Here is a 12,809-nt window from a genome sequence, read left to right on the forward strand (position 1 = left end):
AAGTGTCACAGGAGGGACCAGGTGGAGGTAATTGAATCACGGGGTCGATTTCCCCCATGCTGACTGAGCTGATGGTTTTATAAGGGGTTCTTCCACCTTCACTCAGTACTTCTCCTTCCTGCCACCTTGTGAAGAAGGTGCCTTGCTTCCCCTTCACTTTCCATCGTGGTTCATGAGGCCTCCCTAGCCATGCTGAACTGTGAGTCAATTAAACCTCTTTCCTGTATAAATTACCCAGTCTTGGGCAGTTCTTTATAGCCGTGTGAAAACAGACTAATACAGTCTGGGACCACAGGCATACACCACCATGCCTAGCCATTTATTTTTTATTTTGGTTGAGAAGGGTCTCACTCTGTTGCTCAGGGTGGAGTGCCGTGGCGTGATCTGGGCTCACAGCAGCAGCCTCGACCTCCCAGGCACAAGCAATCCTTCTGCCTCAGCCTCCCAAGTAGCTGGGACTACAGGCACATGCCACCAGAGCCAGCTAATATTTAATTTTTTGTTTGTTTGTTTGTTTGTTTGTAGAGACAGGGTCTCTCTATGTGCCCAGGCTGATCTTGAACTTCTGGGCTCAAACATTCCTCCTGCCTCAGCCTCCCAAAGTGCTGGGATTATAGCCATTACCCTTTTTGATAAGTGGAAACATCTTGTGCACGTTCTGGAGTTTTCATTATGAAAGTGATAGATAGTGATTCTCTAAAATGCTACAAGTATTAAATTTTTTTCTCAAACTCCCCTCTTCTCTGATTCATTAGGACTCTCTTCTATACAGAAAGATATGGCAATGGTAATAAGCTTCCATCTGAGAGAGAAATTGAACTCTTGCTAAAGTGATGATATTTCCTAAGGATTAGGAATTAATGGTAGAGCTGTGGTACTCTAACTAGCTGTATCACAGTCACCAACCCGGGGAGCTTGTTAAATCACACAGAGTTTCTGATTCAGGAGGTCTGGGGTGGGGCTGAGAACACACATTTCTTTTCTTTCTTTTTTTTTTTTTGATACAGAGTCTTACTCTCGCCCAGGCTGGAGTGCAGTGGCGCGATCTCAGCTCACTGCAAACTCCGCCTCCCAGGTTCACGCCATTTTCCTGCCTCAGCCTCCCAAGTAGCTGGGACTACAGGCACCCACTACCATGCCTGGCTAATTTTTTTGTATTTTTAGTAGAGACGGGGTTTCACCATGTTAGCCCGGATGGTCTCGATCTCCTGACCTCGTGATCCGCCCACCTTGTCCTCCCAAAGTGCTGGGATTACAGGCGTGAGCCACCGCGCCCGGCCGAGAACACACATTTCTACCAGTTCCCAGGTGATGCTGATGCTGCTGGTCTAGGGACCTAACTTCCAGAACCACTATTGTGAGGGATGGAAAAATAAAAGAAAGAACTTGGGTTCTGTCCTTGGTTGGTCCCTAAGATCTGTGAGGCCGTAAATTGGGTGGCTGCACTAGCATGCCGTGTGCAGTGAACACTTGTGTCTTGCTTAAAGGATTATTTTATCTAACTGGGTTCATATGATGCAGAAAATCACAGATCCGTAAAATATTCTCAGAAGCTATTTAGTTTCTCGCCAACTTGTAGTGTTGTCAGTAACTTTTCAGTTCTTTTGATTGATCGTTGGTATTATATGCAAAATGTCTCAACACTGTTACAATCTCACATTACCATGGAGGCTGGTTACTACTCTTCCTATTGCCTTTTAAGTTAGCCAGAAAACATGCGATACAGTTTTGTGTGTTATTAAAACAGTAATCAGTCCAGATTTATTTGCATTGTATAATATGTTCCTACCGTGATTATATAATGAAAATAACTTTTAATTCACTAGGAGAGAAGAATCCTGTTCTTAAATTACTTATAAGTCAGATAATACATGCCTTTGTGTAAATCCAGTTTTTAATGTTATTTGTGTGGTAAGTACCCATACCTAATTTTGATGAATTTGAATTTCAGCGGCTTCATTTTTCCTGTTTGCCCACTTAGAAGCTTTAAGGAAGTAAAGAAACAAATGTTTGTCAAAGCTAGAAAAAAGAATGTAGTCCCCAAACTAGGTAAATCTACCTCTGAATAATCAAATCCACCCATGTATTATTATAGGACCCATATGCATGAAGGCATGGGCATGCTGTCTGTGTTCATATGACCTGTCTCTGCAGTCAGTAAGAAGTAACGGGTGTCTAAATAAGAGAAGGGCAGCAGATCGTGAAGCCGTCGTTGGCATTTAAACAAGGTGGCAACTGAACTGCACTGTTCAGTTTCTTGTGGGTTCCGTGAACAGCATATGCTGTACCATTAATTATGGAAGGAATACATGTAATTGTTGGCTGTGGTTAACATTAGAATATTATTATGCATGAACATCAAGGGATATTGACAGAAATATTCAGTATGCTACATTGCTTCCAAAAATCAAATTTTGTTTGTTTTTTTGAGACAGAACCTCACCCTGTTGCCCAGGCTGGAGTACAGTAGCAGCTCACTGCAGCCCCAATTTCCCGGGCTCGAACAATCTTTCCACCTCAGCCTCCCAAGTAGCTGGGACTACAGGCATGCATCACCATGCCTGGCTAATTTTTGTATTTTTTATAGAGATGGTGTTTTGCCATGTTGCCCAGGCTGGTCTTGAACTCCTGGGCTCAAGCAGTCTGCCCACCTCAGCCTCCCAAAGTGCTAGGGTTACAGGCATGAACCACTGTGCTCGACCAATAATTTTTTTTTTTTTTATTCAACAGTCTCTCTCTAGAATTTATACTGTAAGTGAAAATGCATGTATATTTTTCTATCCAGAGAATTTACAGTCTAATGGAGAACACAGACACTTAGATATCTTCCATTAGGTGTACGGTTGCTGTGGTAAAAGTATGTATACATAGTGTACAGTGAGATAGCTCAGTATTTGGAGTCAGAAATGAGACCCTCTGACCTGTTTCCCTCCATTTAGCCATTGGAAACTTAAGAGTAAAAATAAATGTATATCAATAAAGAGCCATAGTGTGAAAATTTTATGTAGAAGTGCTAAATATTCTGACATTATGTTACTCATGATGTAGAAGAGGATCATTTCTCTAGTTTAGGGAATGGTGTTAAATACTTGAAGGCATGTTTAGTTTGAGGTCTCATTTAAAGAGCTCCTATTTTAGTGACTGACCTTGCAGGACAGAAAGTACATTTTAGAGAAGTGTAAATGTCCACTTTCCCTGGTTGTACTCTAAAATTTTATCTGGCACTGGTTAAACTAAGCCACTCTTAGGAACCAGTGAACATTCGAGGCAAGTAGTCTGTGCCCAGGCTTGTTCTAAATCCTTTGTGGCCGAGGACATAGCGTCTTGGAATGGTTAAAATGGATCTGCTCCTTTTGATTTCCAGGTAAGCTGTTGTTTGATGTGTTTTGTTTACCTGGTTTGCAATACCCAGAGCTTATTCTAGAGAAGGGATTCCCAGCTGGTGAATTGTCAGGGGATCTTTAACTCTTTAAAATGTATATAGATTCGGTTAATAAAATACAGGTTTACTTAAAAACGCTGGACTTCATAGTACCTTTTTGGTGTTAGGTATCAATGAATTGTCCTTGTGTATAATTACTGTTATATGTGTGTGGGGATGTATATATGTAATGAATTAATGTTGAGGTCATTGGCATTCCTCTGTGATTCATTATAGCTGTTACATAAAAGCCTATTTCCCCTATTAGTGTTTTGTTTCTCTTGAATTTTATATTTAGAATAAAAGAGAAATTATGTCTTTTATTAGAGATGCAATGAATGAATAAAATTAGTTCTACCTGATTATGAAGCATATGTATTTTCATGTAATGGTGATATAGCATAGAGATTAGGAGCCTGGGTTCAAATCCCAGTCCAGTTATTAATACATTACTTTGAAAAGTTACTTACTGCTTCACTTTCCTTATCTGTAAAATACAAATAATTGAATGGATTCAGGTGTGAATTCCATTGCACAGTCCAAGTGGGGGAAAAATTATAATTTTGCTTTTCTGTAATAATTTACAACAAATTACATCCCCGTCCTGCTGGGGAAGCAGACCTATAATATTTTAGTTCCCAGGCCACCGCCTCTTGCCCAGGGTGAAGCATAATTTGAGGGTGGGGATGGTAACCTAGTGCCATGGCCTTGAAGGTGTGACCCCATCTTGCCCTCCAGTCTCCTCTTTAGGCCTTTCCTCCTGCCCCTCAGTTTAGTAACTCTCTCCACCACTTCCTTGCTGTGCTGCTTGAGGACATGGTAACCACCTTGCTGGTTGTGCGCAGTATTGGGGCGTGAATCTCTGCAAAGCTCAGACCTTTCTGTCTTAATGTGATACATAGCTGTTTGGATTCTCCTATCCTCTCCGGTTGTTTCATGGTTTCACTAGGGTTCTGAAAGCAGGTGAAAAAAAACAAGAAAGCCTCACTGGGAAGGTGACACTCAGGTAGAGATCTGAGGGAAGGTGGGGGTGTCTTTGGATCTCGGGAAAGAGCAGACCCTCAGGCTGGTGCTTGGGGTGTCTTTGGATCTCGGGAAAGAGCAGACCCTCAGGCTGGTGCTTGGGGTGTCTTTGGATCTCGGGAAAGAGCAGACCCTCAGGCTGGTGCTTGGGGTGTCTTTGGATCTCGGGAAAGAGCAGACCCTCAGGCTGGTGCTTGCACAGTGAGGCCAGAGCTGAGGGAGCTCAGGGAAGAGGGGCTGCTCCCCAGGCTGAGGAGGCCCAGGCGACCACGGGGGCTTTGACATTTATTTGGCAATAAAACCATTGGAGGGTTTTCACCACACCCAAAATGACTGACTTTTACAAAAAATACTTTCTTTCTTTCTTTTCTTTCTTTTCTTTCCTTTCTTTCCTTTCCTTCCTTCCTTCCTTCTCCCTTCTCTCTCTCTCTCTCTTTCTTTCTCTTTCTTTCTTCTTTCTTTTTTAAAGAGTTGAGCTTGCCTTTATTACCCAAAGCTAACTGCAGGAGTTAACAGTCAGTTTGCTTTGATACTGGATTTAAGCCTTATTTTATCCCTTCTTAAAACTTAATTGATTGTATCTTATTAAAGCCACACTAGGAAAATCCTGTGCTCCATTTAAGTCAATCAGTAAGAGAGCTTCAGAAGGATTGACACAGTATCCTTCTCTATATGAGGAATACCCCAGTCAAATCAGCTGGGAGAAAAAACTTTGTAAAGAAATTTTTAAAAACCTCTATTATTTTGCATTCGAGATTTTGTCTGATAGAAAATTTCAGATTATGTTTCCTGGATATACTGAAAGTGAATACAAACGGCTCATCAGACCATTTGGCTGTTACCGTTATGCTGTTCACTCGACTGGTGGCCACATAGACATAAGCAAAGTACTTGCAGACTGCTGGATTTCTGACTGATGAAACCATTTCTGATCAGCGACTCACTGCATTTCTCTTCCGATGAGGGTCACTGTTTGCAGGGTGTCTGGTATAAACTTCCTGAAGCCCCAGCAGTCTTGAGAGCAGCAGTAGAAGAAAGCAGCTGGAACCCTGAGAACTGGGGCAGAATGCTGTTATGGGCTAAGAAGAAATGGCATCATCTTGGCTTAGAATTTGGAGATTCAATGAATCTTTATTCTTTCATGGTTCCATTAAGTGATTATTTTTAATATGAATTAGATCACTGGAATTTCATATTAGTCATGCTGAAAAATTCCACATCTGTGTGTTTTAATTTAGGGTCTTCAAGATGAAGGGCATCCCCCAATGATTAGGAGAGGCACAAGATAGAAATACAGATTTTATTACCTACAGGCCCTGGGAGTACACAGCAATCCTGGAGGTCACACACAGGATGGTCAGGGAGCTTGAAGGTCAGGAATTGTGAAGGGAGAGAGAGAGATTGAGACCTACCTAGAGACCCATGGGCCTTCATGGGGTCCAAACAGGTTTCCCCCAGGGAGGTTTAATTGGTTCCAGGAGGTCACACTGTGACTGCACAGCCCATGTGGGGTGTGGGGATCGGGGCCAGTGAAGTAGGCTGTGTGTAGCTTTCCCATGGGGAGGTGGTTGCCAGGAGGAAGTTGTCTAAGGCAGGTATCTGTATTAGTCATGTTGAGGAACTGGGAGGAGGTGTAGAACTGCACCCTCTGCCATGTCCAGGGTGACAGAGCCCTGCTTCTGCTACGACAAGGTCCCACTTATCTTCAAAGTGCATGCTGAGGCAACATAAAATGATAAGAATTTACTACACTGTGACTTTTAAACTATCATCTCAATGGTTTGGCATGATTCAATATTTTCTATTTTAACTTTTTATTTATAAAAATTTTAAACATGGACAAAAGTAGAACAGCACAGTGACACTCCCCTGTGTACTCATCACCCACCTCCACAGTGATCCTGGCCCGTTTTGTTTCCTCTAGCCTCCCCTCCCCTATTTTCCCCTTTCCTCATTATTTTGAAGCAAATTCCAGACATCGTTTCATGATAAGTATTTTAATATATATCTCCAAAACTGTAGACTTAAATAACTGTAATTCCTGTTATACTTAAAAATTCAGAATACATTCTTAATATCTTCAAATATCCAGTCTGTTGGTAGGCAGTGTAAACATATTCATAAATTAAGTTTGCTGTATCTATTAAGTTGCTTGATAGTATTAAGGTGAGAACAGTGCCATCTCTTACTGGTTGACATTTGTATGAGTCTGCCCATGTTAATGTAAAACAGATTTGCCACAGGTAATGTGACCATACAGGTAACATAATCTAACAGTTAAAAAATATATGCATGTCTTGCTTTTATCTTGTTGACTCCAGTGCTCTTATCAAAATCCTCATGATGCAACTGCCCAATGGGTTCACCATCACCACTGCCTAGACAGAATCGATTTATCAAGACAGGGGGATTGCAATGGAGTAAGAGTAATTCACGTAGAGCTGGCTGTGCGGGAGACCTGAGTTTGTTAGTCAGTCTCCCCGAGCATTTGGGGATTGGAGTTTTTAAAGATAATTTGGTGTTTTTAAAGATAATTTGGTGGGTAGGGGCTTGGGAAGTGGGGAGTGCTGATTGGTCAGGTTGCAGATGGAATCTTAAGGGGTTGAAGTTAGGTTTTCTTAATGTCTTCTGTTCCTGGGTTGGATGGCAGAACTGGTTGGGCCAGGTTACTGGTCTGAGTCCATCAAGTGCAGGGTCTGCAAATATCTTAATCACTGATCTTAGGTTTTACAATAGTGATGTTATCCCCAGGAGCAATTTGGGGAGGTTCAGACTCTTGGAGCCAGAGGCTACATGACCCCGAAATTGTAATTTCTTGTAGTTATTTTGTTAGTCCTGCAAAGGCAGACTGGACCCCAGACAAGAAGGGGGTCTTTTCAGGAAAGGGCTGTTACCAATTTTGTTTCAGAGTCAAACCATGGATCAAATTCTTTCCCAAAGTTAGTTCTGGCCTGTGCTCAGGAATGAACAAGGACAGCTTAAAGGTTACAAGCAAGATAGAGTTGGTTAGGTCTGATTTCTTTCAGTGTCATAATTTCCTCAATTATAATTTTGCAAAGGTGGTTTCAAGGAGATGAAGCCTTCTAAGCCTTTCTGTACAGCTTAGGTGGTGCCAGCAATGGGAGGATGCTTAGGACAAGGGTTGAAGAATTGACGAAAATGAAAATTGAAAAAGAAATATAGCTGACCCTTGAACAATGTGGGGGTTAGGAGCACCGACCGCCTGCCCAGTTGAAAATTAAAGTATAACTTTCGACTCCCCCAAAACTTAACTACTAATAGCCTGCTGTTGACTGGAAGCCTTATAACGCAAACAGTTAACACATATTTTGTATGTTATATGTATTACATACGGTATTCTTACAGTAAATTAAGCTAAAGAAAATGTTATTGAGAAAATCATAAGGAAGAGAAAATATATTTACTACTAAGTGGAAGTAGAGCATTAGGCCTTCATCCTCATTGTCTTCACATTGAGTAGGTGGAGGAAAAGGAGGGTGGAGTGGCAGAAATAGAAGAAACGGTGCATGTAAAGTGGACCAGACCTGTGTTGTTCAAAGGTTAACTGTACTGATTATCTTATTTTAACTTAAAATGTATAATGTGCATTTACTCACCAATCCTTTGATAGACAGACAGCTATGGTCTTTGTGTACTTCTGATTGCAGTGCTAAGTGATCCATTTTGCATAATCCATACTCAATTCATTGCAATTCTAATTTTTTGTTTCTTTTAGAAGAGCTTAAATAGTTTGAAGACAATTTCAAAGCATCGTGAGTACAGAATTCTAGATTTTAAAAAATTATTTCCCATTTGTCTTTTTTTTTTTTTTTTTTTTGAGATGGAGTCTCACTCTACCACCCAGGCCAGAGTGCAGTGGCATGATCTTGGCTCACTGTAACCTCCACCACCCAGGTTCAAGCAATTTTCCTGCCTTAGCCTCCTGCATAGCTGGGATTACAGGCCCATACCTCCTCACCTGCCTAATTTTTGTATTTTTAGTAGAGACAGGGTTTCACCACTTTGGCCTGGCTGGTCTCGAACTCCTGGCCCCAAGCTGTCTGCCCACCTCAGCCTCCCAGAATGCTGGGATTGTAACCGCCCAATGGGTTCACTTTGCCTGCCAATTTCTTAGAGCCGATTTCTCAGGACAAGCGGAATTGCAATAGAGAAAGAGTAATTCATGCAGTGCAGGAGACCGGAGTTTTATTATTACTCAAATCAGTCTACCCATAGAGTTTTTAAGGACAATTTGGTGGGTGGGGGAAGCCAGTGAGCCAGGAGTGCTGATTGGTCAGGGGTGAAATCACAGGGAGTCAAAGCTGTCTTGCACTGAGTCAGTTCCTGGGTGGGGGCCACAAGATCAGATGCCCAGTTTATTGATCGGGGTGGTGCCAGCTGATCCATCAAGTGCAGAGTCTGCAAAGTATCTCAAGCACTGATCTTAGGAGCAGTTTAGAGAGGATCAGAATCTTGTAGCCTCCAGCTACATGACTCCTAAATCATAATTTTTAATCTTGTGGCTAATCCTTGTTTTTTTTTTTTGTTTTTTTTTTTGAGACAGAGTCTCACTCTGTTGCCCAGGCTGGAGTGCAGTGGTGCAATCTCGGCTCACTGCAGCCTGCACCTCCCAAGGTCAAGGGGTTCTCCTGCCTCAGCCTCCTGAGTAGCTGGGACTATAGGCACCCGCCACCACGCCCGGCTAATTTTTTGTGTTTTTAGTAGAGACAGCATTTCACCGTGTTGGTCAGGCTGGTCTTGAACTCCTGACCTCAAATGATTTACCCACCTTGGTCTCCCAAAGTGCTGGGATTACAGGCATGAGCCACTGCGCCTGGCCGTCGTCCTTGTTTTAAACATCTTTGTTTCAAACTATAAATTCCCAAAGTTCGTTCAGCCTGCGTCCAGGAGTGAACAAGGACAGCTTGGAAGTTAGAAGCAAGATGGAGTCAATTAAGTTAGATCTCCTTCATTGTCTCAGTCATAATTTTGCAAAGGCAATTTCAGGATTACAGGCTTCAGCCACCGCACCTGGCCCTTTCCCATTTGTCTTTTTTTTTTTTTTTTTTTTAAGACGGAGTTCCGCTCTTGTCGCCCAGGCTGGAGTGCAATGGTATGACCTCAGCTCACTGCAACCTCCACCTCCTGGGTAGAAGCGATTCTCCTGCCTCAGCTTTCCGAATAGCTGGGCTTACAGGCACCCGCTACCATGCCCAGCTAATTTTTTTTGTATTTTAGTAGAGACGGCGTTTCACCATGTTGGCCATGCTGTTCTCAAACTCCTGACCTCAGGTGGTCTGCCTGCCTTGGCCTCCCAAAGTGCTGGGATTACAGGTGCGAGCCACCGTGCCCGGCCCCATTTGTCTTAACTGTTGTCTCACTTACACTTATTTTGACAGTAAACTTTTTAGCCATCTACTTACATTTCTTGGAAACAATTACTCTTTTTTGAACTCATGTTTCATTAGCTATGTAATAATTCAGTTGCATAGCTATAGTAACTTACTGTAATCACAACTGGTTCATGGTAAGTATATGATTCAGATGGTGGGGTCAGAATTTCCTGTGTATACTAGAGAGTATCCTGCAAAATGCAGGAGTTCAACATGCCACATATTTTATACAAAGCATAGACGGCATTGGTGAATCTGGTAAATTGATTGTGTAGCATACAGGCTGTGTGATACTCTCCCATTAGTCATAGTTTTGAGATTTATGGCTGGTTCCTGTGGTTGCTTAGGTTGGAGTATGGTTCTTGTGAACTGAATATTGGACTTTGAAAAGAATTGATAGTAGATGCTGAATTTGGTATTGTTTTGTTCTTTACTCTTATAACTTGATTGACTCCCTTAATAAATCAGTATCCTAGTGCCATATCATAATTTACAAAATGATCAGAGGTGCTTTTGTAACACTTTCAGTGTTATTGATTTGCAAGAAGGATCAGCTGGAAGGCACAAAGGATCCTGGCAAAATTCTGGTGAGAGGCGCCCGTCCTGCTGTGCAGGTGTCTCTTACGGCCCTCCTGATGAGATTGTCTTCGGCTTCTCTGCCTTCGCATCTGATGCATCCCTCACTTGGTCACCTTTTCCCCTCTGTCAGCTGCTGTTAGGCAAAATCTCTTCCTTTGTCCAAGTATGATTCATTCTTCCATTTTTATGTAATAAACTTTAAGTTAGCTCTTCAAATTTTATTTTATTTTTCCAACTTAACTCTCTTTGGCAGTCTTATTTTACCATATCCTTAAGCCTACATTTGTGCTGCATTAAAAGCCAGCTGTAGTTCTGTGGTGAGGTTTATGTTAGCTCTGTGAATCTAGAAAAGAAATTGCCCTGAAGAGGAACTGCTGATAAAAATAAATCGTAGTTAAGAATACTGGCCTCAGGCCAAGTATGGCTTAAAGCAGAGACCCATATTCCTCATGTAACCTAGTTGTATATGTATTTATGTCGATGACCTTAAGGGGAAGTATCATTTTGAGTAGCTTAAAGATCAGTATGTTTCACTTTAGTAATGTTCTTTACATACTTTGATATAAAGTATTTAAATTCTTTAAAAAGGCCCAGAGACTTGCAGATCATCTAGGCTGACCCTGTCATTTTTCATGTGTGAAAGCTGAGAGCTGGGAAATAAGTATTCAGTGTCTTTCACCTTACACAATAATTCATGGTTATGATGGTGACCTTGAGTCATAAGAAAAGGTTCTTCTTGGCGGAGTGTGGTGGCTCACACCTGTAATCCCAGCACTTTGGGAGGCCAAGGCAGGCGGATCACTTGAGGCCAGGAGTTTGAGACCAGCCTAGCCAACGTGGCGAAACCTCATCTCAACTAAAAATACAAAAATTTGCTGGGCATGGTGACGTGTGCCTGCAGTCCCAGCTACTTGGGAGGCTGAGGGATGAGAATCACTTGAACCTGGGAAGTGGAGAAGTGAGCCCAGGTAGCACTACTACACACCAGCCTGGGCAACAGAGCAAGGCTCCATCTCAAAAAAAAGATTATTCTTAATTATACTTTCAGAGTAAGCTTTTTATGAAACTAGGAGAGTCTGCAGGTTTTTGTTTTTGAGACAGGGTCTGGCTCTGTCTCCCAAGCTAGAATGCAGTAGCATGATACCAGCTCACTGCAGCTTCCACCTCTTGGGCTCAGGTGATCCTCCTACCTCAGCCTCCAAGTTAGCTGAGACCACAGGTGTGCACCACACTGCTTGGCTAATTTTTGTATTTTTGGTAGAGATGGGGTTTTGCCATGTTGCCCAGACTGGTCTTGAACTCCTGAGCTCAAGCGATCTGCCCACCTCCACCTCCCAAAATGCTAGAATCACAGTTGTGAGCCACTGCGCCCAGCCTTGTAGTACTTATTTTAAAAAGACCAAGAAAAATGATGAGGCTAAAGTTTTCCTGATGGTGTAGATCTTTGGAAAAGCTGAATAACCCAAATGCTATATATTCTATAGGAGTTTTCTTTCTGAAAAATATATATTTTTAAATTTCATCCATTTCGATTGTTGAGTTTTTGGGACTAAAGTGGCAAGCAGGAATGTGGGGAGGCCTTGCTGGGAAGGAGCCAGGCTATGTATATCTGTGCTGATGGATTAATAATTTCCACGTGGGCCCAGGAAGGAGGGAGGAAGCTTCATCATAGGTTACACGTCGTCTATTCTGGTTTTAGTAGTGCTAAAATCCTGTAACATATTTTTCAGTATATTTTACTTGTCGGTTGTGTAAATACTCCTTTTCATCTCTGAATGCTAATTTATTTGCACAAAAACAGCAGCAGGGAAGCCCTGTTGAAAATAAGGTATTAATTTTTATAACTCTCTTGGTAAATGTACCTTTGCATTATTTGGCCTCTGGCATTGTTTTGACCTGGCTTTACACAGTCCTTTATCTGGGCCTCCTGCCACCTCCCCACCCCACATTCTCCCTAGCCCCTGTTCCTCACTGGCAAGACCCCTCCTCACCTGCCTGCTGTAAAGCCCTTACTCTGTCGCATCACCTGATTAACTTCTGTAATTGCACTCACCACCACCTGGAATTGCTTTGCGTGTTGATGGCTGTGTCTCCTCCTAAAACAATGCTTCTGAGAGAAGGAGAACATCTTGTTCCTGGCTTTTCACCACTATGTCCCCCTAGAACAGCATTCATGGTACTAACTGCCTATTCAATATGTGTTGATAAAATATAAACATACCGGCTACCTAGCTTCAATCTGGTAGCTAGTCATTGGCTTTACCCACCCAGAGAATGCAGAATTTTAGAATTGGCTCTGATGGCTTTAAGCAGAAAAAACTGGGCAGGCTATTAGGGGAAAATTCTTCCCCCAAACCGTGGTAGAGATTTAGAAAAAGTGTAATTAAGACATG

The 12,809-nt window shown here is 42.2% G+C and overlaps 1 protein-coding gene across 1 annotated transcript in view, besides 3 other annotated features; it reads left to right on the forward strand.

Moving 5' to 3' along the window:
• The window catches only part of SNX9 (sorting nexin 9), a 121,832-nt gene that overhangs the window by 12,365 nt on the left and 96,658 nt on the right, over nucleotides 1-12,809 (forward strand). The window lies entirely within an intron of this gene.
• Nucleotides 6,000-6,149: an enhancer, noted in NCBI's record as "active region_25340". NCBI's record gives its function as "activates an Ori minimal core promoter by ATAC-STARR-seq in GM12878 lymphoblastoid cells {active_cell/tissue: GM12878}" and the evidence as "EXISTENCE:reporter gene assay evidence [ECO:0000049][PMID:35858748]".
• Nucleotides 6,667-6,961: a silencer, noted in NCBI's record as "tiled region #12251; K562 Repressive DNase matched - State 5:Enh". NCBI's record gives its function as "represses a minimal TATA promoter and a strong SV40 promoter by Sharpr-MPRA in K562 cells {active_cell/tissue: K562}" and the evidence as "EXISTENCE:reporter gene assay evidence [ECO:0000049][PMID:27701403]".
• Nucleotides 10,646-10,735: an enhancer, noted in NCBI's record as "active region_25341". NCBI's record gives its function as "activates an Ori minimal core promoter by ATAC-STARR-seq in GM12878 lymphoblastoid cells {active_cell/tissue: GM12878}" and the evidence as "EXISTENCE:reporter gene assay evidence [ECO:0000049][PMID:35858748]".

This window comes from Homo sapiens, chromosome 6 (genome assembly GCF_000001405.40).
Source record: "Homo sapiens chromosome 6, GRCh38.p14 Primary Assembly".
Taxonomy (NCBI): Eukaryota; Metazoa; Chordata; class Mammalia; order Primates; family Hominidae; genus Homo; species Homo sapiens.